Source organism: Homo sapiens, chromosome 4 (genome assembly GCF_000001405.40).
Source record: "Homo sapiens chromosome 4, GRCh38.p14 Primary Assembly".
NCBI lineage: Eukaryota > Metazoa > Chordata > Mammalia > Primates > Hominidae > Homo > Homo sapiens.
Genome location: NC_000004.12, coordinates 169,965,694 through 169,993,258, shown reverse-complemented (window position 1 = coordinate 169,993,258; position 27,565 = coordinate 169,965,694). Strand labels below are relative to the sequence as shown.

The 27,565-nt window shown below is 40.5% G+C and overlaps 1 protein-coding gene and 1 long non-coding RNA gene across 14 annotated transcripts in view, besides 1 other annotated feature; both read left to right on the top strand.

Moving 5' to 3' along the window:
* MFAP3L (microfibril associated protein 3 like) overlaps nt 1-6,657 on the top strand; it is a 40,676-nt gene extending 34,019 nt beyond the window's left edge. For all 13 annotated transcript variants that reach the window (XM_047416460.1, XM_017008867.3, XM_017008865.3 and 10 more), the window contains one exon: nt 950-6,657. In XM_047416460.1, the coding sequence (XP_047272416.1) occupies nt 950-1,881 (932 nt within the window). In that variant the 3' untranslated portion in view covers nt 1,882-6,657. The remainder of the gene's footprint in view (nt 1-949) is intronic.
* Nucleotides 16,610-17,353: an enhancer, noted in NCBI's record as "H3K4me1 hESC enhancer chr4:170897057-170897800 (GRCh37/hg19 assembly coordinates)". NCBI's record gives its function as "activates a minimal SCP1, AML or CMV promoter by ChIP-STARR-seq in naive and primed H9 embryonic stem cells {active_cell/tissue: H9 hESC(naive and primed)}" and the evidence as "EXISTENCE:reporter gene assay evidence [ECO:0000049][PMID:30033119]".
* The window catches only part of LINC02275 (long intergenic non-protein coding RNA 2275), a 58,142-nt gene continuing 47,933 nt past the window's right edge, over nt 17,357-27,565 (top strand). Inside the window, exon 1 of the long non-coding RNA NR_037878.1 lies at nt 17,357-17,443. This is a non-coding gene — a long non-coding RNA (long intergenic non-protein coding RNA 2275). The remainder of the gene's footprint in view (nt 17,444-27,565) is intronic.

Genomic DNA, 27,565 nt, shown 5'->3' with positions numbered 1-27,565 from the left:
TTTCAGAAGGGCTCAGACCTAACACCCTGAAGCCACGTCTAGTATCATGTTTCACAGGGGTCTTTGACCTGCAGGTAGATGGGCAGGCTAAATTCAAACCAAAGTGTTTCACTGAATTCAAAATATCATTCCTGAGGCGATGCTAGATCCTTTCCAGAGAGGGTGGTGGGGGTAAGAAAACTCGCATTTATTATCAGTATGTGTTCTCCTTCGTGTCAAGCTTATTTTCAACTTGATGGGTCTGTAATTTATTTGCAAGGCTAAAACAAATTGATATTAATTCATATCCAGCCTCTGAATACTCACATTGTTAGCTTGTAACTTTAAATAGTATAGATAATTCACTGTGGAGTCTCAAAATGAATGATACAAATTATGTTTTAATTAACTGAGATCATACAAGGATTACTTCAATCTTAAATTTGAGAAACTCAGGTAAACAATTTAATTGCATTAACCTCCCCAGTGAACATATATTCAATGGAGGCATGCTCACTGGCAGGTTAGAGAACCAGTTGCTTTTAAAGTTAAGGAACTCTTCAATAAGAGCACAGTGTTTTCCAGATTGTTTCTCTCATTTTTCACTAGGATGTGGAGTTAGACAATATGGTTTGGTAGTTAAGAGTGCAGCCTCTGGAACTCAAGTTCATCTTCAGTTCTACGGCTTCCAAGCCGGTGCCCTTGGGAGTGTTGTCTAACCTGACTGTGCCTCAGTTTCCTCATCCTGTAAAACGGAGGCAGTGTCAGGGGCCACCTTGCAGAGTTATTGTGAGGATTAAATGAGCTGATGCATGTCACTGCCTGCCGCATAGTAAGCATGTGAAGTCGACGTTCATAGACTTCATAGATGTTCTTCATAGATGTTCATAGATGTTCTTAGAAACGTATCAGTTTGTAGTCATGGGAGCTCTGTGTCCTTGGTTGAATTCTCTTCTCTCCCTTCCGACAGGAAAATGGCAAATGCACGACAGCGGCCTCCTGAACATCACCAAGGTATCCTTCTCAGACCGAGGTAAATACACGTGTGTGGCTTCTAACATCTACGGCACCGTGAACAACACGGTGACCTTGCGCGTCATCTTCACTTCTGGAGACATGGGTGTCTACTACATGGTCGTGTGCCTGGTGGCCTTCACCATCGTCATGGTCCTCAATATCACCCGCCTGTGCATGATGAGCAGCCATCTAAAGAAGACTGAGAAGGCCATCAATGAGTTCTTTAGGACCGAAGGTGCAGAGAAGCTGCAGAAGGCATTTGAGATCGCCAAGCGCATCCCCATCATCACCTCCGCCAAAACTCTAGAGCTTGCCAAAGTCACCCAGTTCAAAACCATGGAGTTCGCCCGCTACATCGAAGAGCTTGCCAGGAGCGTGCCTCTGCCGCCTCTCATTATGAACTGCAGGACTATCATGGAGGAGATTATGGAGGTGGTTGGGCTGGAGGAGCAGGGGCAGAATTTTGTGAGGCATACTCCAGAGGGCCAGGAGGCCGCAGACAGGGATGAGGTCTACACAATCCCCAACTCTCTGAAGCGGAGCGACTCCCCTGCCGCTGACTCGGACGCCTCATCGCTGCACGAGCAACCTCAGCAAATTGCCATCAAGGTGTCAGTTCACCCGCAGTCCAAAAAAGAGCATGCAGATGACCAAGAGGGTGGACAGTTTGAAGTCAAAGATGTAGAGGAGACAGAACTGTCGGCGGAACATTCCCCCGAAACTGCAGAACCTTCTACCGATGTCACGTCCACCGAGCTAACATCTGAAGAGCCAACACCTGTTGAGGTACCAGATAAGGTACTGCCGCCAGCTTACCTGGAAGCCACAGAGCCAGCAGTGACACATGACAAAAACACCTGCATTATTTACGAAAGCCATGTCTAATACCAACCCCGAAAAGCTATGCATATCAAGAAAATCAGGGGCTGCTCCTTGTAATACAGATGTAGTACGCACTTGCCGCTAAGCCTTACCAGGAGACTCTCATCCCTTAGGTAGGAGTGATGCCACTTTAAAAGGAGAAACACCTGCCTGCAGTGAATGGGACTGGAATTTCCCCAGTAGAGAAGGGTGCGAGAAACATCAGGGTGCAGAATTGATACCAGACAGAAGGTGTCTATGTGATAATGAGTTTCAGAGGCTGATCTCTGCCAAATACCTTAATTGGTGATGCCTTCTTGGCAAAGAGTACACCACTGTAAGATATTCTGAGTTCAAGAACCCTGTCCAGTGCCCCCTGCATTGCTTTTCCTTTTAAAAAGTATAGGTCTGCTACAATAGCAAATGCACGTACGTGGGTTTTTTGCAGTTTCTTCTCAGTTTTAATTTTGCTTTTCCTTTATAATGGGGTCATTGTTATTAATACTAATTGTTCTTTCTGGTTTAGTCCTCATTGCCACTTTTGTCCTTATGTTTCCCTAGAACACGTACCTCAGAGACTTTGGTATCAGTCACCAGTACCAGGGCTGATATCTACAAGTCACATTACATTTGTCATGTTCCAAAGTAGTTACGAGGCTTGTTATTTTTTTTTCATTCCCCAGGCCTATTTCCATAGATAGCTTTTTTTGTTTGTTTCCAACGAAGCTGCTGTTAAACGAAACTGAGAAAAACTTTGCCCCGGAATAGCACTTTAATAGTCAAAAATGTGTTTACCTGTCTGATTGAGTGAGCCTTTTGGTGAGCTCAGCTGAGATGTAGAGGGAGATTGTAAAAGGTTAAATATACCCACACCACCCATGAAAGTCACTGTTTAAGTTACATCATCCTCCAAATAAAGACTGATTCTTTACCTGGAAAATATATTGCTTCCAAAGACATCAGATTCAGTGGATTCCTGTAGGTTATAGAATATTGGCTTCCAAACAGGCTTGCAGGGACCATATGCTGTTGGATGACATATAACCAGGTCCACTTTTATGAACTGCATAGCTGACTTGGTTGTCCTTAAAGAGGAAAGCGAAAGGTTAGGGTAATAGCAAAGGGAACTGTGCCATCAGATTTTATGCCAAAACTGTTGAATAATTATGCAGTCCTGCAAGAAAGTGGTTATATGTGAGGTGCGTGATGTTATGGAAAGAAGACAAAATTAGTCATCCAAAGGCTTAATACCCACTGTGCCAATAACCAGCTGCCTGGCTTTGGACAAGTCTGGACCTCAGGTCCCTTATCTGTAGAAGGGGCAGATGACATGAGCTCTGAGCACTGTTGAAATGGTATCACTGTCACACAGAACCAAACCAATATTCACATCCTTGCTCCTTTTCACAATGACTTTAAAGATTTTTGCTTTCATCTCTTGGTCCACCTAACATTTTCATGCTTCATTACTTAAATAAGAATGTTGGTTTTGAGAAATAGCATTTTAAACAAATTGTGGATCTTCTCCTTCCAAAAAAACCATTAGGACCACATCTGCAATTAAGATTTAATATTGGTGAGAATGAGTGGTTTTATTTAATTTTCCCTTAAAAGCAAAGGAGACAGTAATCTTAATAAATTCATAGGGGCCGTGGCCACATCAGGTAATGGGGTTATGATGTCCAAGATTGCATGGATCACATTGGTGATGAGAGCAGACCCAGATGTTTAGTCCTCACTCTGTCACCATCTGAGGAGGTGACCTTGGACAACTCCCTTCCTCTCTCTGGGATTTAATCTTTTTCATCTGTAAAATATGCAGGTAGTACTCGAGGGTCTACAGGATCCCTTCTAGTTGAAACATTTATAGTTCACAGAAAGTTTGCAGTCTTCCAGGATAACCAACCCCCGTTGCATGAGACAAGCAAAAAATGGGTCCATGAAATTGGATACTTTTGCCATCCAAACTTTACAACAAACATTATCTGGCTCTGTAATTGAGAGCAGTGGGCTTGGTTTTAAACCTAGCCTTGATTAGTTTGTTTATAGATAACTGTTGTGGAAGGTGATAGAACTAGTCATGGAGTTTGATGAGACATCTCTTGAAAAGGACTGAACTGTTGACTTCTGGTTAGAAGTGCTTTGGGCAGTCACATAAAGAAATGAGCAGTGAGAAATCAGGAGAAATTATGACTCCTGTTGGGCTTTCTGGACTAGCATTGTATGTTTTTGGGTTGCAGAAAAGTTTTAACACCACCTCTTAGAATATAAAAATTTTCCAGTTGTCATGGAGGTCCACAGATTCATTACCATGGGTTTATATGCCCAAAGCAACAACAGAGGACTTAAGTTCATTTTGTGATACTGTATGGATGTTACCCCATCCTATTCAGTTGTCATTCCACCCAAACCCATGTGTAGGTTTCCACATGGAAAGGAGAAGGCATCCATTCCACCTAGACATTGAATAGTGATAATAAGCTAAAAGTGGGCAGATTTTCAGTGGAGCAAGAGCAGAAATATGCGGCCAAAGAATGTTTCCTGATTGGTTTTGCTGCTTTAGACTGCAGTGGGGAGAGCTTATGTAGATTTTCAAAACTTTCTCCCTCTTTAAGGCATCATAATGCTCTCGGTTTTGATAACAACTGACATAAAGGGAGGTTGACTTAAAATGGGAATTTCTCCTTCCAAAAATGCTACACTCTTCCTATCCATCCTACAGCTTCTTTATGAAATGAGAGGCCCTCCTGCTAGAATATGAAATGCAGAAGACCTCATGACTTTCAGCTGATTTTTCAAAGATAAAGTGAACTGTTCAGCTTCATAGAAATTCATGCGAGTGTGACTGAACGTGTGTGCATACACACTCGTGCACATTGGACTCATTTGGGCAGTTTTAAAAGCTTCACACTAAATCCAAAGCCTCGTCCTTTGGGTCGTATGTAGTCGTTTGTAAAATCAATTTCTGGCTTCTGAGTCATCCTGGTCATATCTCTAGCAATGTTTTTCTTGAAATTCTGAAAATGATTCACATATGTGTGTACATTTAATTCACTTAGATGATCTGTAAACTTGGATGGTATTTATTCTAAATGGGGAAAACAATTTTATATGGAAAAATCTATGTAATTTATAATGGTTTTGTTTTATATATTATATTTTCATATCTCTAGGGCACATCTATCCTCATCTTTTTGTATACCATACTTAGCAAAAAGAAATACTAATACTTGACTAAAATCTCTAGGAACCAAACGTGATACATGTGATATATAGCTTCTAGAAATCGCTCTAAAAATCTCTGAATGTCTCATCCATCCCAAGCATTATTGTGCTGTGTCATTATGTCCAGAATGATTTGTCTTGGATGCTTATGAGCATTTGTTTTTCACAACTAAGGTTGAAAGACCTGACATCTCACACAATGGGGTTCTGGAATTCCCCTTTCCTCCTTTATCTGTTTTTATTGTTTGTTTCATTTTTAATTGCACCAGTCTATGTTGTCGAAACTTTGTTTTGAAGGGCAAATGTGAGATAACAAGAAAGCAATGTGATGGAAAGACTGGATGAATTTACCTATGGCTATGTAAATTATTTTAATGGACTGATAAGATGTTTCAAGTCTCATGCTTGGATCTTTATTTATTGGTGATCTAGGATCTGCTCAGCTCTTTAGCACATGAAGAAAATCAGGTACAAAGGACATTTGCATGTTTGGAACAGCATGCTCTAAGCCCCGTGCAGCCAACACAAATTAACTTGACTGTAGAAACACCAATTCCAGCTGCTGGAAGAAATGGTTTAGAAAGGCAAACCAGATACCTTTTATTCTGCCCTAGGAAATACAGTGTTGATCAGTGCTAAAACTCTTCAGTGGCAGTCACTGTGGTTCTTTTAACTGGGGATTTCCTTTCAGTGTTTCATTTGGTACCAAAACAGAACATTTACCTTACATTTCAGATACTCTGTTTTCTCAGCATTGTTCAGATACTTTCCTTTACCGCTCTTCACGTACCCTTTTGGCATTGAGTAATTCTATAAATGTTTCTATCCTTGGTTTTTAAACCAAGTTATTCATACTCTTAAAATATCTACCAAATCTCATTGTATTTTCACATATTTTGAGCATCAAGATACTGGTCATTTTAAAAAATCCTTCAGTAAATAGCACAGTTTATTTTCCTAATGACATTTTTAGGGTTTCTTCATTGATCAACCAGGTTTGGGTTACACAAATCAATTGTGGGGGAAAAATCAAATAAAACAATTGCTTATTATATTTTCCAAAGGACTGAGCATTTATCTTTTATTCACGAAGATATCATATGAGGATGATAATGATCTTTAACAGATTTTTTAGAGATAGAATTTATAAAGAGGCTGATACTAAGAATACTACAATCAAAATTGAAGCTAGAGAATGTAAAAATAGAAAGTAAATAGTTCTAAGAATATTCTGGCATAAATTATTTTTATTTAGCCAATAAAATAGCCTCCAAATGTATATCTCAGACACCATAGAGCTGCTAACAATGAGAATCAAGGAAGATGCTTGCACTTAGATTTCGTTTGTTGTATTTCAGTAGTTCTGGATGTCCTTTGTTAAAATTGGAAAATGGAAAAATGTCTCGACAGAAATGTCAATCTGGTGATTCTGTGAACTGTAAAATGTTCACTTTTAAAAATAAAGTTGTAAACAAGTTACTCATATAAGTTGGTATTACAGTAGCAAAAACAGAAAACCATGTGATCCATCCTGTATTTTGATTGATGCTTTAATAAAGGGTTTGCACAGCTGTGTGGAATGTGTGTTGTGTCCCACCTGAAGGGTGTGTAACTGTGGCTTGACTCATTCTTTCCAGTGGTATAAAACCTGCATTCAGCTCTTACCCCTACCCTTTGCATCTGCAGCATTTCTTGGGAAAAGAGAAAAATGAAGTAATTTGTATGTAAAACCTGCATAATTTCATCCCACTACAGAAGCCTAACTCTGTCCTGACAAATCGTATAGCAATCGATTTTAATCTATATCAAGAAATAATTTTTAGCACATCATATTGAGCTTGCTTTAGGGAATCCAAGAAAGAAACTCACATCCCTAAAACATTCCACAGGGAGAAGGCATCAGTAGCAGAAATGCCACAAAGCACCTAGACAACACCAAATCCAAGAACATGCTAAGTAGGTTTATTTGACAATCAGTAAACAGCAAAAATGAACTTCCTCTTGGTTGAGATGATTTTGTGAAGTGTGCATAAGTGAACCAAGAAAGGAGACTACCAAATGGAAAGTGCAACAAAAGAAACTGGCAGCAAATCAGTATTGTAGTGCAGGACAGAACAAACAGGCAAACAAAATAGCTGAGTGAGTTATCCAATAAGCTGTGCTTGCAGCCATCCACAGGTTTGCTCAAGTAAAAAAGGATTTAAGCGAATTACATTGGCATAAATGGAAGAATTAACAGCGTGTCATCACAAATGAGAAAACAGGAAACTTTTGTCCTAACTGGGAAATTTTGGCTGATCCTATTTTCAAGACCAGAACAAACTGCTAATTTTTTTTTCAGGTTTTGGAATGCCGTGTTCTGCATGGGTCTAAAGGGGATATATCAGTCAGGCTTAACATTAACAAATGATTTTCAAAGAAGCGTATAGTCACAGAGTTGGAAAATATGTGTGAGGGTATCTGATTTATTTCAAGATTTGTATTATACAAATTTATTCTACGATATCCCTGGCAAGTAGTAGTTGAGCTCTGTCTGAAAATCTCTGAGAAATGGGGAGCTTATGATCTCATGCATGTTCTGTTGTTAGGTGTTAAGTGTTGAGTCAAAAATCCTAATAGTAGTACCCCACCAGTCCTTGTTGAGCCATCTGGAGCTGGAAGCATGAGTTAGTCCTGCCACAATAAAATCATCTTTACTGTCAAGACAAAACTAAAATTATATATAAAAGAGATGATTACAAAAAAAGATTGGGTGCACCTGATACTACTACATTAGCTATATGCCATGTGGTGAACACCCTTTTGAGTAAATGGTTTCTGTCAACAGGGATGTTAAAGACAGAATCAGTTATACCCCCCACCCCCTGAGATGCCGTAAAGCTACAGCTCCTTAAAGAGTTGTTCAGTAACCAGGGAAGAAAATGAGTGAACCAGCAGATTAATTGCCTTGGTTGATTAGTATGTTTTTGAAGGACCATTAGAATTGACTCCCTGAAAGAAGGATGGATAGATAGATAGATAGATAGATAGATAGATAGATAGATAGATAGATGATTGATAGATAGATGATACAGCTACAGATAAATACGTTTATGAAGTGGCATATTGAGGTATTTTAAAATAGCAATTGAATTATAGCCGGCACCAATTGCATTTACACTATTAGATAAAATAAGGACACAAGGGGAAAATAATTTTCCCAAGATATGAAGTAACAAATATTACGTAATCTTTAAAAATGAAGGTTGATACAGTAATATGAATTTTTCAAAAAACAAATTGCTCACTACCAATGTATTTTCTACCTCTGGCCCAGTTCATTGAAAAAGGTGAATTGTTTTGGTGAGCCCTTGCAACTAACTAAACGAAGTGGATTTTCTTGCAATTCATTTGTGTTTTAAAGTTCATTATGGAATAGGAATCCCAGTGAACCATGCAAAAAATCACCTGAGCATAGAAATCCAACAAAATTAGGGGACTTTTTGCTGTTCAGCATAAATGCTGCACAGCATCTATTTCCTGAAAGTTTTCATGATTTATATGAAGCTGATGTACATTGGAGAATGCTTAAGTGATCAGTGCCTCTGATTTAAGTCAGATTTACTACTGTGTCTGCTGGTGCTGTAGACTTCTGTTTAGACAGTTGGTGAGATGGATGAACAAAGTCCCAGAGCTTTAAGAGGATTCATAATTCTGCAAACCACGAAAGTTTTTACACAAAATGGAAATAAAAACGTGTGTCTGAAGAAGGTAAAGTAATCCTGTAACAGCTGCATAGATTCCCTCATAGTTAGCTGGTGTTTTCTGTTTTCTTCCCTGCTAGCATTACCTCAGCTGTCTGACCAGCAGACCAGCTACTTATGCGTGATGTAAAATGCTTGGTTATAGAATAGATTCCAAGAGAAAACTCATCTGCCATGTAGCAGGCCCTTTGTCAGTTTAATGCTGTGTGTGTCTGAAATTATTTGAAACCATACAAAAACTAGGACCTGGCATCAAATTTATGGAAGTGTTTTCATCTAATAAGAAATTTGATCTGTGATGATTGTTGAGAGAAAAAAGAAAAATTTAAATAATAAATCTGAAAGTGTCGAAGACCTCAGAAAATTTAATTGCATAGTCTACATTCTATTTATAGGGAAAAAATGACAGTAAGAGGAATCTGTGATTGTTAGATTGTTTAATGTGCAGAACAACTTTCTGTATCAATTCAGCCTAAATTGTTTTCACAATAATAGTTGAGATACACTAATGATATTTCTGAACCCCAACAGATCCTGAAAAAAAAATCCAAATTTAAAAATAAATATTTTAGTATCATGTTGACTATTTTATTACCTTCTCTCATTCCATAATGAATTTGAGGTGATTGGATTAAAATATATTCGACTTTCTTTGAATCCCTTGAAATTGGTAATTGCTGTGTTTCATACAAGCTCACAAACTCTCAGTAACCTATTAGTCAAACATTTTATTCCCAATCATTTTGAATCAATGAGAGATTTATAGTATGATTATAAAAGCAGAGCAGGTGGGTGATCTATAAATGTTTCTTTATCTGAAGCTTGAAGATTTCTGCTATCACATAAGGATAATATATTGTTATGCTATGCTCACAAATGGGTCTATGTGGTGGGGAAAAGATTGCAAGAACCCATAAAACATTTAACACATTTCCTCCAAGTTCTTACATATGGAATTGAATTTGGCTTTTTAAACCTTTTTCTTTATATTTTTTAAAAATACTTCAATATAAAAATCAATACAAATATAGAGTTACAAACCTTCTTCTTTTTTTTTTTTTTTTTTTTTGAAATGGAATCTTGCTTTGTCACCCAGGCTGGAGTGCCGTGGCACAATCTTGACTCACTGCAACCTCTGCCCACCAGGTTCAAGCGATTCTCCCACTTCAGCCTCCTAAGTAGCTGGGATCACAGGTGCCCGCCACATTAAACAACTACATTCACCAGCATAGAGAATTTCTAATATAGTCATGATTTTCTTGTGCATGAGAGATCTAAAAAGGATGGTTATGCTTTATGATACCTAATTTAGATTCAGTCCATTGCCCAAACATAAAACTGTCTCACTCCAACAGGTAGCAAAATGTGTGTACTCACTGTGGTGGGCTGAACCCTGACAACTGTCGTGAACATGTGTGTTTGCTTATCTGTTGCATGTATGAATTTTATCTTTCTAAATACTCCAAGCCTGGGACATAGAACACTTTTTTTTTTTTTTTTTTTTGAAACAGAGTCTCACTTGGCCACCCAAGCTGCAGTGCAGTGGCGCAATCTTGGCTCACTGCAACCTCCACCTTGCAGATTCAAGCAATTCTCCTGCCTCAGCCTCCCAAGTAGCTGGAATTACAGGCACCCGCCACTACGCCTGGCAAATTTTTGTATATTTTAGTAGAGACAGGGTTTCACCCTGTTGGCCAGGCTGGTCTCGATCTCCTGACCTCAGGTGATCCGCCCATCTCGGCCTTCCAAAGTGCTGGGATTACAGATGTGAGCCACCGTGCCTGGCCAGAACACATATTTTTAAATTAGACTTTTTATTTTGAGATAATTGTAGATTCGCATGTAAGAAACAGTACAGAGAAGTCCTGCGTATCCTCTACCCAGTTTCTCTCAGTGATAACATCTCTAGTATCATTACCAGGATATTGACATTATACAGTTTTCAACTCTGACTCAGAATTACCCAGTTTTACATGTACCTATTTGTGTGTGTGTGTGTGTTCTATTCAATTTTATCGCATTGTAGGTTGTGTATCCACCACAATCAAGATATAGAACGTTTCCGTCACCACAAAGATCCTTCATAGTTCCATATATAAACACACCTCCATCCCTCCCACCCCCAGAACACACTTTTTAAAAAAATCAGTAAACTCTGCTTAATTAGATAACTGAAGCATGTCTGAAACCAATTGTAGTGAGTGTGTTTTTCCATAAAAATATGTGCCAATTTATCAGTTTCTTGGTGTCTGATTTCCTGTCACTTTAAAATAACTTGTACAATCAAGACAGAGACCTGGTTTGTGAACTGGGGACATCCATACACTAGAAGTCCTAGAAAACCCTTGAGAAGCAGGGCCACCTGTTACAGCTACCCTCAGGCAGCTGTAGGTCACAGTGGGGGACTCCTGGACGTCCAGTTCACACCCTAAAGTACCCTTGCAGCCAACAGATGTAGAACTCAGAAGAAAGATATGGTTTGAACATGGCTTTTAAAGTCTCAAAGAGAAGTACTCCCTCCATTATCAAAATGTCTAGTACTCACCATTGCTCCAGAAGGCCACAGAGTGGTAGAAAATCACAGGTAAAGGCTCAGACAGCCCCTGTGATATTGGTGGTCTTATCCTTACATTCTTCTCCCTTGGCTAAGACAGGACTTAATATGAAAAGTCCAGCACCCAGGCCACAATGAGCTATCTCCCAATTCAGATGTTATATTAAGAAAGGCTTAAAGAACTTGGTAAAACGCCTAATGCCAATTACCATCCCAAGTAGTGAAGTTAAAACAACTGGCCACAGTGTTGAGGGAAAAGAACCTTGGCCCAAACTCCAAGGAGGCTGCAGGAGGTAGATCGCTGGAACAGGGTCACAATGACACTGGAAGGGTTCTCATTCAAAGCCACTGAAATGTCACCATGAAAGATTTATTTCTTCAGTAGAACATTGTTCTTCTTATGCAAACACCCTAGACTTGTAATCACCATTAGCCCCTGTCAGGAATTATTAACTCATAGTATGAGCTGATTTAATCCTATGACTCTACCTAAGAACCCACTGAAATCAGAGAGCCTAGGAGGACAGGGGTGTTGAAGAGGGTAAAGAAGAGGGATGTTGATCACTGCAGGACTTCTGGGAGGGCTGGCCTGGCTGGAGGACCTGCACAGACAGAAAGCATCAGAAAGGCAGACCTCTTGGAAGCACAGGACACGAGTTGCCTAAGAGAAGCATAAGAAAACTGAAAAATAACTTCTACTTCATCCTGCTCCCCAGGATCAGCCATGGCCGGATAGCAATGAATTTTTAAAATACAGCAAATAATCTGTCTGCTTAATGTAAATTAATCCTTACAATCACAGAAAGTTATCCTCATTAACCTAATTTCTAGTCAAGATATCCCTTCAGTCTGAATCTTGGTTGTCTCCTCAATGATGCAAACCTCAATCCTTAAAGCATTTTGGTCTAAGCTATCTGGTGTCCTGTTATAAAAATTGACTTGTTGCTGGGCGCGGTGGCTCATGCCTGTAATCCCAGCACTTTGAGAGACTGAGGCAGGAGATTACTTGAGGCCAGGAGTTCAAGACCAGCCTGGCCAACATGGTGAAGCCCCATCTCTACTAAAAATATAAAAATTAGCCGGAAATCACTTTAACCCAGGAGGCAGAGGTTGCAGTTGAGCTGAGATCGTGCCACTGTACTCCAGCCTGGACAACAGAGCGAGACTCCATCTCAAATTAAATAAATAAATAAAATAAAAATACAAAAATTAGCCAGGCATGGTGGTAGGTACCTGTAATCCCAGCTACATGGGAGGCTGAGGCAGGAGAATCACTTGAACCCAGGAGGTGGAGGTTGCAGTGAGCTGAGAGCCAAGATCATGCCACTGTACTCCAGCCTGGATGACAGAGCAAGATTCTGTCTCCAAAAAAAAAAAAAAATTAACTCGTCAAATCATTTCCAAGAAATTATTCCCTGGGATAGTGGAGGGCCGCTTGTCAGTTAAGTAGCAACATTAAAGCATTCTTCAAATGCTTATTTATTTTGAGAGTGATAAACTAGGATACTTTATTTCCATTAAGCTCAAAAATGTTCTTTATACTTGTAGCATCAATAACATTGCTATACTGCATTTTCCACTCAAAACTCAGGACTAAGCACAGAAATCTCTAGTCCACACTCCAACTATGATGTTTAATTTTATTCAGTAATACCTAACTTTTGTTCTATTTTCTCTGCACATGATGTATTTCAGTTTTGCAAAATTGTTTATACTTATTTATCAACAGCAGGATGTAACATTTCCCATCATTTTTTTGGTATCAAAGAGTATTTAGATAAAGCCAGGTAAACTGTTAAGTCTTCGGTTTACCGTCTATAACAATATTCACTCTCCTTCCTCCTTGTCTTACAGGTAGTTTAGCTCAAATAATAGACAGTTCCATATTCTAAAGAATGAAAAGGTGAAGTAATTTTCCCAAGTCCATAATACATTCTGCAGCTACTGGCTATGAGCTCACATCCCTATCTCCACAATGCTTCCCAGGGAACTTTAAGGATTGCTGGCTTTAGCAACTGTTAATAAAATGAAAACAATATGTCCTCCAGCTAACTAGGATTTGGGGGGACTGGATTAAATGTGTTTATTCATAAGGCCCAGTGAAATGTTAAAAGTACGTTTTGAAGAACTTCTTTGGACCGAAAACCATGCTTGTCCAGACCCCTTTTCCCGGGATGGTTGCTCTGGTCTGGATGTCTGTGTCCCCCCAATGCAATAAATAGGTGGGGCCTTTAGGAGCAGATTAGGGCATGGAGGTGAAGCCTTCATAAGTAGGATTAATTCCTTTATGAAAGAGATCCCTTTCGTTTGCCCTTTCTACCATGTGAGAACAAAACAAGAAGGTATCATCTATGACAAAACGGGCCCTCACTATGTCAGCCAGCACCTTGATCAGAAACTTACTGCTCACAGTTCCAAGCAATAAATTGCTCACCTTGATCTCAAGATTGAGAAGGGAGCAGATATAGATATTACTGGCATGGCTTAAGCTGGTCAGTCCAAGCCCAGTGTTCCAGCCCAAGCCTTGGAACTGTAAGCAATAAATTTCTGTTGTTTATAATCCACTCAGGCTGTGTTATTACAGCAGCCCAGAGAGACTAAGACAATGGTTTCTCTGGGTAGATTTCTTTTTTTGAGAATAGAATGTAACTTTTACCCCCATTTTCTTTTCTTTGCTACTTGGACCTAATATTTGAAAGGGCTGTTTAAAAGGCTTTTGTCCACTCTAGTCTTGTCATGGTGAGATGATTTTCTACAATTAGAAATCTACAGTGAATTCAAGAGAAATAAATTGTGACACCGAAATTACTTTCATGTCATTACATGTCATGGTCTCTCCAAGCACTTGATAGTCACCGGAGGGTCCAGCAGAATAAAACCACATCCTTTCTGCAGTGCAGATATTGGCAGGGACGGTAAATGCACCACGACTCCAGGTTAACACATTCACTGTCCAGGGTGCCCTCCTGTGTTCTAGGTTTCTTTTTCCTCAAAAGAAACAAAGCAAAATTCTAGTGGAAAACAGAATTGGAGAATCCAGTTTCTAGAGCCTGTTCTGCCTTCTCTGCAATCCTCATCAAGCTAGACTGCCTTCAATAGAAAAGTAACCGGCCGGGTGCGGTGGTTCATGCCTGTAATCCCAGCACTTTGGAAAGCTGAGACGGGCAGATCACCCGAGGTCAGGAGCTCGAGACCAGCCTGGCCAACATGGTGAAACCCTGTCTCTACTAAAAAGACGAAAATTAGCCAGGCGTGTTTTTGGGCACCTGTAATCCCAGCTACTCAGGAGCCTGAGGCGGAAGAATTACTTGAACCCGGGAGGCGGAGGTTGCAGTGAGCTGAGATCCCGCCATCGCACCCCAGCCTGGACAACAGAGCGAGACTTTATCTCAAAAAAAAAAAAAAAGAAAAGAAAAAAGAAAAAAAGAAAAGAAAAAATAGAAAAGTAACCCATAAGCAGCTGATGAGTTTAAATTTTCCTTTCCTAAATGAGAAGGTGTCTGTCTTCCCTGATTTGCTTTCAGGCCGCAAACAGGGCAGCACTGGTGAATCTCATTGCTGCAAGAAGAGGAAAATACAGCTCGTTAAGCGAGGGAATTATTTGAAGACTGAGACAGGAGTAGATATAGACATAACTAGCATGATATGCCAATTTAAACATGTATTGACTCCAAAATCTCGAGCCTGTGCATTTTGAGATCGATCACATTTCGTTTTACCCAGCCAGTGCCTGTGGATGTTCAGGAGCACCGTTCACACCGCTCATGGAAAGAAGGACTTCTGTAGCTTGCTGCCGCTTCATTTTTCCAAGAAATTACCATTACCTCCTACTTCCTCAGAGAAGTCCAGTTTCTCCTTGTCTTTTTTAATTCTCAGATAATAATTGCACATATTCATGGGGGTACCATAGTGATGTTTTAATACATATAATGTGCTGTGATCAGATCAAGGTAACTAGCATATCCATTGTCTCAAACATTTATCTTTTTTTTTGTTTGTTTTTTGGAGATGGAGTCTCACTCTTTTGCCCAGGCTGGAGTGCAGTGGTGCGATCTCGGATCACTGCAACCTCCGCCCTCCAGGTTCAAGCGATTCTCCTGCCTCAGCCTTCTGAGTAGCTGGGATTACAGGCACCCACCACCGCACCCCACTAATTTTTGTATTTTTAATAGAGACAGGGTTTCACCATGTTGGCCAGGCTGGTTTCAAACTCCTGACCTGAGGTGATCCACCCATCTCAGCCTCCCAAAGTGCTGGGATTACAGGCGTGAGCCACTGCGCCTGGCCATTTATCATTTCTTTGTGTTGGGAACATTCAATATCCCCCTTCCAGCTATTTGAAAATATGTAAAAATAATTGTTAACTTTAGTCATCCTATAATGGTATAGAACACTGGAACTTATTCCTCCTATTTAGCTGTAATTTAGTATCCTTTTATCAAATATATCCCTATCTCTCCCTTACCTCCTTCGTCTTCCCTCTCTTCCTCTTCCCAGCCTCTAGTCTCCTCTGTAGCACTTATTACTTCTATGAGATCAGCTCTTTTAGCTTCCACATGTGAGTGAGAACATGCACTGTTTACCGTTCTGTTCCTGGATTATTTCACTTAACATAACATGGATGGAACTGGAGAACTATATTCCTGGTCTTCATATGCCTCCCTGTCTTGGTCTTCTTATGGGGAAAGGCTGGACCAGATCCCTGGCTTTGTCCTCAGCCTCCAGGGGGTAATGAATTCCTTTGTTTTCCTTCTGTCTTAAAGTTAGCCAGATACTCACAGATAGGCCAGTGCTTAAATTTACACAGGCAATTGCTGATATCCTCCAGGAAATATTGGCTTTTACTGGTTCTCATATTTCTGCCACAGTTATCTCTGGTCACCTCCAGACATTCTTGGTCACCATATGCACCCCCTAACACACATAAAAAATGTCCAAACATCCGTTTTCAATGCTGTGAGTTAATGTTTCCACATGTTTTATAGGGGGCTTTGAAGGATAAGCCAGTGTATCTCCTTAATTCCACCTCTCTTTCCAAACTTCAAGGTGATCAGGCCTAATTTATCTCCACTCACCTGACTCCTTCTTATTGTCCGGATTGCTGGACCTCATAGCTCATTTTAACTTTCCCCTTTCTGAGCCTCCACTGACCTGCACCCCGCTGCTGTCACCACCATGAGAACACTGCCTTTGTTCACCCTTGTTCTTCAGGACAAGTAAACTCATCTCAGAGGCCTCAAGCTATTGGGCCCTGAACTGCTTCCCTATGTGACAGACTGCTTACACACCCATGTGCCCCCTTCCCACCACACCTGCACGTGTTCATGTGTGCACGTGCACACACTTCACACACTTTCAACCCAGCACTTCGCTGGCAGCCAGAGGCAGGTAAGGAGGAGAAAAAAGTGCTAACAGGTTTGTGATTCATTATGATTATTCTCGGAAACAGTCACTATGTCAAGAGGGCTGATCTTACAATGGCAGAACCACATCAGCCTATGACACACATGAAATCTCCCTATCCCGTCTCACGTCCTGCATGGCACAGCAAGTGGACAGAAACACCCTCTCAACCAAAGACAGTTCTTTGTCTTGGTTCTGACATTCCTCTCCTCTGCTTAAGTTTAATGACATTCTAGAGGCAGTAGTGAGGGTGGGATTCAGAGCCAGATTCAAAACTTATTTCTGCTAGGGGCCATCTGCCGCCACTCTGTCACACTCTCCTAAATGGCTGAACTCTATAATCGCTGCACCAGGAGTCTGAGAGGGGCCTTGGATCCCTGAGCTCCTGGCTGACCTGGCATCTGGCAGTGTGCGTGGCTCAGTGGCTGCTTTCTTATGTAACATCAGCCCCGCCCAACCTCGCTGTAAATCCTCTTTCCCAGCATTTGCAGGGTCACAAGAGTCTGGACTCTAGGTATTATTTAACTAAATGGTAGAAATCCTTTTGAACTCTCTGTGTAAATCACTTCTTTCTACTTACTTGCTGTGCTTCTCTGAGTGCCTCGTGGCCTCTTTATCACCACCTGTTGAAGGAAATGTTAGATCCAGATATGGATGGAAGGTAGGCTCAGTTGTTTTTTACTTTTATGAGAATATTGTGCAAATAAAATCTTCCTTGTTCTTACTAAATACTCAGGAATTTAATTTCACCAATTATGAAAGTGCTTACTTTGTAATCTGTTCTTAAACTGAATGGGAACAAATCCTATTGTGGTATGGAGTTACATTCTCTTCTTACCCGGTAAGCAATCAGTCTGTAGAAATGAATAGGACATATTTACCCTGATCAGTTTCTCTGATCTAATAACCCTGGGTCTATTTCTACTTCATACTGTGTATTAAATTTAAGACAAATAGCTGGAAAAATGTGTAAGGATAAGAAAATGTGGACAGTGATTCCAAATATTTCTCATAATTCCCCCATGCGCGCCTGTGGGCTGTGTTGTTTTTCTGCAGACCAGCTGATTAGGGATTCCCGAAGTTCCACAAGATCTTCTTTATGTTAATTGGTAACTAGGTAATTGCGTGTCTCATCAGGATTCCTACAAGTGAAGAGCAGTGCACTAATTCTGATGAGTAGAAAAGTTGGCCAGGAAAAAAATAGATGTTTGTTTTTATAAAAATATCCCTCATCTTGATATTGGTACATCCTGACTCATCAGAAAGTGATGCTTCTCAACGAAGCAAAGCAATCATTCTTTTGTAAAGTTCAAGTAATAATCTTCAGATGAAAACCAAAAAATGCTTATAAATTTGGTGAATAATCCTGAAGCACTTATGTTATTAAAAGTGTCTTTCTGATTAAGACTATCTCTGAAACAGAAAACTAAGATATCCTATTTTGTATCTGACATAACTCTAAATTCATCACTCCTTAAAGAAGTCTTCCTCATGACTGATCAGCTGAATCAAATAATTTTCCTTTTTTCTTTATTACATTTTAATTAATCAGCTGATAAGGTTTGGACACCCAGAAGAAGCAGAAAGCCAGTCACTTTGCAGTAATTCAATTTTCTTTATTGGGGTTGCAATGGTCAAGGAAATAACATGCTCCAAAGATAACACAAAAGTGAACAAAAATGGTTCCTGTCCTGAAGAACTTCACCTTTTTGGAGACTGCATCAGATATGCAGTGAATAACTATTATAAATAGAAGAAAGTAGTAAATACCAGTAATAAATGCCTTCATTGATAAAGAGATAAAATCTTAGTGAAATTCAAGGGAGGGCATAGCATACTTCTGACTTGGAGGAATCAGGAGAACCTTGTGAAGAAAAAGATAATTTCAGATAATCTGTGAATGGTAGATAAGATTTGAACAGATAAATGTAAGGAAGAAAGACTTTCCAAGAAAGAGACTCAATGTCAAATAAGAGGGCATGGTCATAAGGGCAAGGCTGCACTTGACTGGACTCTGGAATATGATGCAGGTGGCATGAGGAAGAAGGTGGGCATCATCAGCTGCAGCTGACTCAGGGACCTTGAATGACCATGTGCAAGCTCTGGCCCTACCACTCGGACAGTGTGGACTCACTAAGAAGTGAGTGGGCCTGGCAAACCCCAGCTTTAGAACGATGAATGGAGAAAAAGTGGAGGCAAGAGGGCACTTCAGGAGGCTGCTGATGAGGTCTGACCTAGGTTAGTGGCAGTGAGGGTGGTTCACAAGGAAGGATTGTAAGAGACATTTCTAAGATGGCATCATCAGGGACCCTGCAACAGATGGTTTCCGGCACAAGAGAGAGGGAGGAGCCAGCCAGGTACAGTGGCTCATGCCTGTAATCCCAGCACTTTGGGAGAACGAAGTGGGTGGATCACAAGGTCAGGAGTTCGAGACCAGCCTGACCAGCATGGTGAAACCCCGTTTCTACTAAAAATACAAGAATTAGCTGGTCGTGGTGGCACGCACCTGTAATCCCAGCTACTCAGGAGGCGGAGGCAGGAGAATCACTTGAACCCAGGAGGCAGAGGTTGCAGTGAGCCAAGATCACGCCATTGCACTCCAGCCTGGGCGAAAGAGCAAGACTCCATCTCAAAAAAAAAAAAAAAAAGAGAGAGGGAGGAGCCAAAAATATATCAGAGATTTTAAGTGTGGATGACTAAGAGAATGATAGCACCAATAGCAGAAATAGGGAGGAGAACATAAAGGAAAGAGAATGTTTGGAACAATTATAAGTTATTCCTGTGATTTTAAAAAATCCATTTTAGCTACTTAAGAGTGACGTAGATGTATATATAAACATGGGATTTGACAGAAATATTTTCTTTCTCCCAGTACGTTTGGGATTATTAAATATCTTCTTGTCCTAGGATTTCCTCACATGGCAGGACTTTCAAAGCCTGCTGAAATAGAAAAATATGCAATGGCATTTTGTATAGTGAAAATACAATACAAAAACACTGAGTTTTCTAGCACTTAAAAATAGACTCAATAATTAGTCTTCTGTTGGAAATGGAGGCTCAACATCTTGATAACTTGACATAGTAATTACTAGAAAGTCTCATTGTTGTTCAGAAGTCCCCAAACCAGTGAAGAGAGGGGAATTAGAAAGACAGGTGGAGCAAACAAGGAGAAATGAAATGGTTTAGGATGCTTTGAGCTTAGCTGCCAGTAGGAGAAAACCCAACTCAAATGACTTAAACAATATTAGGATTTTTTTTCCTTCAATCTCACGTAACAAGAACTCTGGAGGTAAAGAGGTTTCCAGATTGGTGAACTTATCAGCACAATTAAGTACCAAGGTTTCCTCCAGCCTTCACAGTCTCATTTTCTCCTTGGTCTTTCAACTATGTTCCCCCATGGTGTCTAGATGGTAAAAGCACCTACAGGTGTTGTCTGATCACACCTGCCATTTGGAAATGAAAACAGAAAAGGACTATTTTTGCTTCTACTTGTTTGTTTGTCTCATTTTGTTTTAAGGAAGGGAAATTTTTCTCATAAATGTGCTAGGCAGACTTCCCCTCCCATCTCATTGATAAGCACTGAGTGAAATGCTCATCCCTAAGTCAGTCAATGGCTTACACCAATCATAGTAAATACCCTGTGGTTAGCGCCAATCTTCCCTGAAATCAATAGCAACTAAAAGGGGCAGGCTAAGTGCTCTGGCTCACTCCTGTAATCCCAGCACTTTGGGAGGCAGGTAGATCTCTTGAGGCCAGGAGTTTGAGACCAGCTGGGGCAACATAGCAAGACCCCCATCTCTACAGAAAACGCAAAATTTAGCTGGGCATGGTGGCATGTGCCTGTAGTCCCAGCTACTTGGCAGCTGAAATGGGAGGATCGCTTGAGCCCAGGAGGTCGAGGCTGTAGGGAGCCAAGACACAGAACAAGACTCTGTCAAAAAAAAAAAAAAAAAAGAGGGGCCAGGCACAGTGGCTCACACCTGCAATCCCAGCACTTTGGGAGGCTGAGGTGGGTGGATCACGAGGTCAAGAGATCCAGACCATCCTGGCTAACACGGTGAAACCCCATCTCTACTAAAAATACAAAAAAAAAAAAAATTAGCCGGGCATGGTGACAGGCGCCTGTTGTCCCAGCTACTTGGGAGGCTGAGGCAGGATAATAACGTGAACCCGGGAGGCGGAGCTTGCAGTGAGCCAAGATCGCACCACTGCACTCCAGGCTGGGCAACAGAGCGAGACTCCTTCTCAAATAAAAAAAAAAAAGAGGTTATATGAGGGGCTACATGAGGAAGGGGGACAGGAGGGATGAATGGCATTTGAGGAGCAACCAGTGATATTTCTACAATCCCAACAGTAGGCAAGAAAGAGAGAAAAAGAGCGTGAGCACAGGAGTGCACCAAAAGAGAAAATAATCACCTTGAGAGTGAATTTAGTGGTGCATTTTTTTTAACATTTCATATCAATGAATTCGGAAATTGAGAACAATCTGCTCTTATTTTCTGTCACTGTTTCAAGGGACTTTCGTAGCTATAGAAACGAGGACTGATTGGCACAAAGTTCCTGGGCTCTCCAGCCACAGTCGTCATTTGGAAGGGAATTCTAAGTCACCAGAGAGCTAACACTTATTCTTGGGAGAATGTAAGAGCAAATCCTCCTTACGCTGCCAAACTGGCACAGGATACTGCAGCCACTCTGCAAATGAACAGTGCACAATAAACAGGCCGAGAGAGAAAGCTTAAAGTTCTAAAAGCCCTCTTGAGGGAAGTGAGAAGGCAGTTCCTGGGAACAGTGAACAAATGCCGTCAGAAGGTGGAATCATTGATTTCAATCATGAATGACTAATGATCGTGATGGTGTGGTTTAGAACAGAAATGCAGCTTCTACAGCCTGAAGAACTACCAGCCTTCTCTCCTGTGATGTTCCATTTATACTTGCTTAATAAAAGCATCCCAATAAATTAGACCATCTCACGTTTGTTTAAATTTGTACATTTCTCATTCATGAAGTATCTACCCATGAATCCAGTTTTCATTTTCATTTGCCATGCCTCTAAGACTTTTTTTACTCAACTAAGGATGGCTGATACATGTATAAGGTTTGGGTAAGATAAATACTATGTATGCAGCTGAGCTGTTGGTATCTTCATGTCAAAGCGCCCAGTGACTTTTGGCATGCCTGTTTGATTGATTCACGCATTTGCTGTCACTAGGTAATACGAAAGCTTTGAAAAATTCTTGCTAAAGTATCCAAATCCAACTGAATGACTACCTGTCCTTGACCAGCAAGTTAATAGACCACCCTTTCCTGGATTCCCAACTCACTGGGCCATATACAAGCACTACCACAGCCAGGCAGTCAAGGACACCTTGGTCTATTTGTTGGCTATACCATTCTCCACTCTCTTCTATTCATGTTCTTGCAAATCAATAGGAATTATTTATTGGTATACCAAAATCAAAATATCCTACTATGGCAAATAATAATGGTGGTGATGATGAGGATGATTAAAATGATCATTCATTCAACAAATGTTATTGATCACCTTCTAATTTATATATGAGGTACTATTCTGGTTTCTGGAGATGCAGGAAGGAACAAAGCAAAGTCCCTACCCTTACGGAGCTTATGATCCAGTCAGCACTGCCAGTAAACACATAACCAATTGAGTAAGATAACTCTAGAAAGAAATAAGTAATGTGAATAAAATAAATCAGTACAGTGGTGTATAAAGTTACTATATACATAAAATGTTGTGTGTGTCTCTTTCCCCTCCATACATACACACACAACACACATACACTTGTTTAGAAATTATTACTAAAATTTATATTACAGACACACTTGCATCCATTCAGAAACCTTCTCTTCATTGGCCGCAGTTCAAGATTATTTTACAACAATAACAAGTTGCATCAGAACAAGGGCATCAAATCTAACAATTCTTTAATTCATTCAACAAATATTGACTAAGGGCCTGCAACATACCAGGCTGGCTCTGTTCTGGGCACTGGAGATATGGCCTCTAACAAAAGAAAATTCCTTTCCCCATGTAGCTAAAATTCTAGGGGGAGAAAACAGGCAATAAGGAAATACACAAGTCTGTAGTATATTGGATGGTAGTAAGCGCTAAGGTGAAAAATAGTGCAGGGTAAAGAGAAAAGGAAGTATGGCAGGTGGGGCCAAGTCTCTGTTTCATATGTAGGGGTCTTTGTATGAAGGCCTCAATAAGAACAAGTGTAAAATCCCTAGAGGGACAGTGCTTGGGTTTCTCTAGGAACAGCAAGGATCCAGTATAGTTGGTGAGTTGGGAGTCAAAGGAGCGAAGGCAGGGGAGTCGAGGCAGCGCTTGCAGGATCTCATCAGCAATATTAAGAACTGTGGCTCTAATTTGAGATGGGAAGCCTCTGGAGGATTTTGAGCATGTGAATACATGATCTAGGAAATATGCGAGATGGGAAACTTAAGTACTACCTTAAAGTCCAAGGATTAAACTGAAATTGCAGGGGGTAACAACCCTAAAGAATTGCCTTCATTCAGCTGGCCCCAGTAGGGGGTAGCACCTCCTTCTTGGAGCCTAGATGCTTTGTACCACAGCATCTTCAGCCTGTGTTCTCTGCAGAGTCTGACCAAGAGTAGTTTACTCTACCCATTTTCACACTTTGGCAATGCACCCTGGGGCGGATATTCTTTCAGGCAGCTCAGGCTCTAAACTCCTCTACTGTCTTTGAGGAATCTCCCACCCCATGAGACAGAGCCTGCCTCTCACTCTAGAAGCTGAAAAAGCTTAATACTCTACGAGCTTCCCTTGTAACAAACATATGGCTCCACAAATAAGATGATAACCTCCTTAGAGATCGAATAGGAGAGCAGGGGCCATGCAGCATCCATCCTTTTGAGGGGGGTCAGTGGTAGCACTCCAGTGCTCCAGGGCCAGCAGTGACAGAGACTCTGCCATCCATGCTGGCATATGTGATGATGGCGGTACAAGTTGCAGGTTGTATATGCAGCCACTGAGTCTGTGTGTTGTTCTGGTTATCTATTGCTGCACAACAAACCTTCCTTATACTCACAGATTCTGTGGGACAGGAATTTGGACAAAACACAGTAAGGATGACTTGTTTCATAATAGCTGGCTCCTTGGATGAAATTCTAAAATGTCTAGAGGTGACTCTAATGTCTGGGTATTAGAGTCATCTGGAGACTTCATATGTCTGGGGCTGGGCTGGGATGACTCAAACAACGAGAAACTCACTGAACATTTCTTTCTATCTGTAATCACAGGCCTTCTCCTTATTGTCTCTGTGCAAAACTGGGGGGAAGCTGGACCTTGTACGTGGTGACTCAGAGCTCTGAGAGCAAGTGACCTAGCCTGGAAGTCACATAGCATCATATCTGCTATAATCTATTTTTCAAAACTGTCACAATGCCTATCAAAATACCAATGACATTCTTTACAGAAATAGGAAAAACAATCCTAAAATCTCTGTGGAATTACAAAAGATAGAGCCAAGAAATCCTGAGGGAAAAGAACAAAGTTGCAGGTATCACATTAGCACGCCTCAAAATATACCATAAAGCTGTAGTAACCAAAACAGCATGTTACTGGAATAAACACAAACACATAGACCAATGGAACAGAATAGAGAACCCAGAAATTAACCTACATATCTGCAGCCAACTGATTTTTGACAAAGGTGCCGAGAACAATCATTGGGGAAAGGACACCCTCTTCAGTAAATGATGCTGGGAAAACTGGATAGTCATACTCAAAAGAATAAACCTAGACCCCCACCTCTTGCCCTATACAAAAATTAACCGAAAATGCATCTAAACCTAACTGTAAGACGAAAGACTATAAAACTACTAAAAGAAAACATAAGGGAAATGCTTCAGAACATTGGTTTGAGAAAGGATTTTATGAATAAGACCTCAAAGGCACTAACAACAAAAGCAACAATAAACAAATGGGAGTATATGAAACTAAAATGTTTCCATATAGCCAAGGAAACAATCGACAGAGTGAATAGACAACCTACAGAATGGGAGAAAATATTTGCAAACTACTCATCCAATGGGGGATTCACATCCAGAATGTATGAGGAACTCAAACATCTCAACAGCAAAAAACAATCCAATTTAACAATGAGCAAATGATCTGAACAGACATTTCTCAAAAGAAGATACACATAAGGCAAAGAAATATATGAAAGTGCTCGGCATCAATAATCGTCAAGGAAATGCAAATCAAAACCACAATGAAGTATCATCTCATTCCAGTTAGTATGGCTATTATAAAAAAGATAAAAAATAACAGATGCTGGCGAAGATGTAGAGAAAAGGGAATTTTATATACTGTAAGTGGAAATGTAAACTCATACATAGTACAACCACTATGGAGAACAGTGTGGAGGTTCCTCAAAAAACTACAAATACAACTACCATATGACCCAGCAATCCCACTACTGGACATTTATCCAAAAAAGGAAATCAGTATATGGAAGAGACAACTGCCTCCCAATGTTTATTGTAACACTGTTCACAATAGTCAAGAAATGGAATCAACCTAGGTATTCAACAACAGATGTATAGATAGAGAAAATGTGGTGAATATACTCAGCGGAGTACTATTCAGCCATAAAAAGAATTAAGTCCTGTCATTTATGGCAATATGGATGGAACTGGGGGACATTATGTTACGTGAAATAAGCCAGGAACAGAAAATTAAACTCTGCATGTTCTCACTCATATGTGGAAGCTAAAAAAAAGTTTATCCCATAGAAGTAAAAGTGCCTTATTAACTATTTATGTGATTATTTTTAATAAAATGTTTTATTTGTAAGTTTTACACCTATAGATTCATCAGTTTTTGTTTTTTTTTTTTCTTTTTTAAATTTGTGTGTGCTATTTTAGTCAGGATTTGGTATTATGGTTATTTGGTCTCCAAAATGGAGTAATACACCTAAATAAACTAGAAAAAGAAAAGCAAAAATAAAGCAAGCGGAAGGAAAGAAATAATAAAGTTTACCTGGGTATGGTGGCTCACACCTGTAATCCCAGCACTTTGGGAGGCTGAGGTGGGCGGATCAACTGAGCTTAGGAGTTCGAGACCACCCTGGGCAACATGATGAAACCCTGTCTCTACTAAAATACAAAAAATTGGCCGGGCATGGTGGTACGCTCCTGTAGTCCCCGCTACTTAGGAGGCTGAGGCACAAGAATCGTTTGAGTCCCAGGAGCGGAGGTTGCACTGAGCCAAGATCATGCCACTGCACTCCAGCTTGGGCTACAGAGTGAGACTCTATCTCAAAAAATAAGTAAATAAAATTTTTTAAAAAGTTTAGAGCAGAAATCAATGAAATTGAAATCAGAAAAATAGAGAAAATGAAGTAAATCAAACACTGATTCTTTAACAAGAAGGAGAGAGAAGACACAAATTACTGACATAAACAATGAAAGAGGGGGCCGGGCGCGGTGGCTCACACCTGTAATCCCAGCACTTTGGGAGGCCGAGGCAGGTGGATCACGAGGTCAGGAGATTGAGATGATCCTAGCTAACACAGTGAAACCCCGTCTCTACTAAAAATACAAAAAATTATCAGGGTGTGGTGGTGGGCGCCTGTAGTCCCAGCTACTCGGGAGGCTGAGGCAGGAGAATGGCGTGAACCCGGGAGGCGGAGCTTGCAGTGAGCCAAGATTGTGCCACTGCACTCCAGCCTGGGCGACAGAGCAAGACTCTGTCTCAAAAGTAAATAAATAAATAAAGTCAAATCACTGCAAGTGTCTTTATTAAACCATGTGCCATCCTTAGAAACTCTGTGAACTACTCAATATCCTTTAAGAACTCTTTCTCTGATTAAATTATACAGAGTTCATTTCTTTTACTTGCCTCTAATAATTCTGAGTGGCAAAAACACCAGCCTCACCTGAAGAATTATCCTGCCAGAAAATTCAATAAAAGATGATATATGCAAATGAACTAGAAGCTATGGATAATAATTCTGATTGGCTAAAACACCAGCCTCACCTGAAGAATTATCCTGCCAGAAAATTCAATAAAAGATGATATATGCAAATGAACTAGAATATATGGATCATAGCCAATCTCTTCATTCCTAGAAGGCAAGCGCTGGCATCAGGGCCAACTGCACACCTTCTACATATTGCTAAACTCAGCCCCCTCATTCTATTGCTATTACTGTTTCCCATCTTCATCCTTCATCTTCTCTTACTTCCCTGTGTATAATCTCATCCAAGTCAGCTAATCTGCCATGTTTGCCCTCTACTTGAAACTCTCCTTACTTGGCCAGCCATACAATGCTCTGGAGAACCTGTCACCTGCTCACCTCCTTCCCTATCCTTATCTCAGTCTCTCTAGTCATATCTCTCTTGCCCCAGCCATAAGTTTTCCACTCCTTATCTCTAGGTTTTTTGTTTGTTTGTTTTGTTTTGTTTTGTTTTGTTTTGTTTTGCTTCAAGAACAACAGACAGCTCAAATACTCTTGTGCTTCTTCCCTCTGTGTCTTTGCTCAGAGGAATCCCTCCATTTGCAATACCTTTCTTCCCCCCTTTCTTTTCCAACCTCCCCTTACAAATTTCTGGCTAATTCCTATTCATTCTGGATCACCTCTCTGGAATCCTTCCCTTCTGTCCTATGTGAGTTGGTGTCTCTCCTTTGAATATCTCTGGGGCTGCAGTTAGCATATTGTATCTGTTCACAAATCTGCTGCCCTTCATGCTTGTGCATCTATGAAGATAAGAGATGGACCTTGAGCATCTATGCATC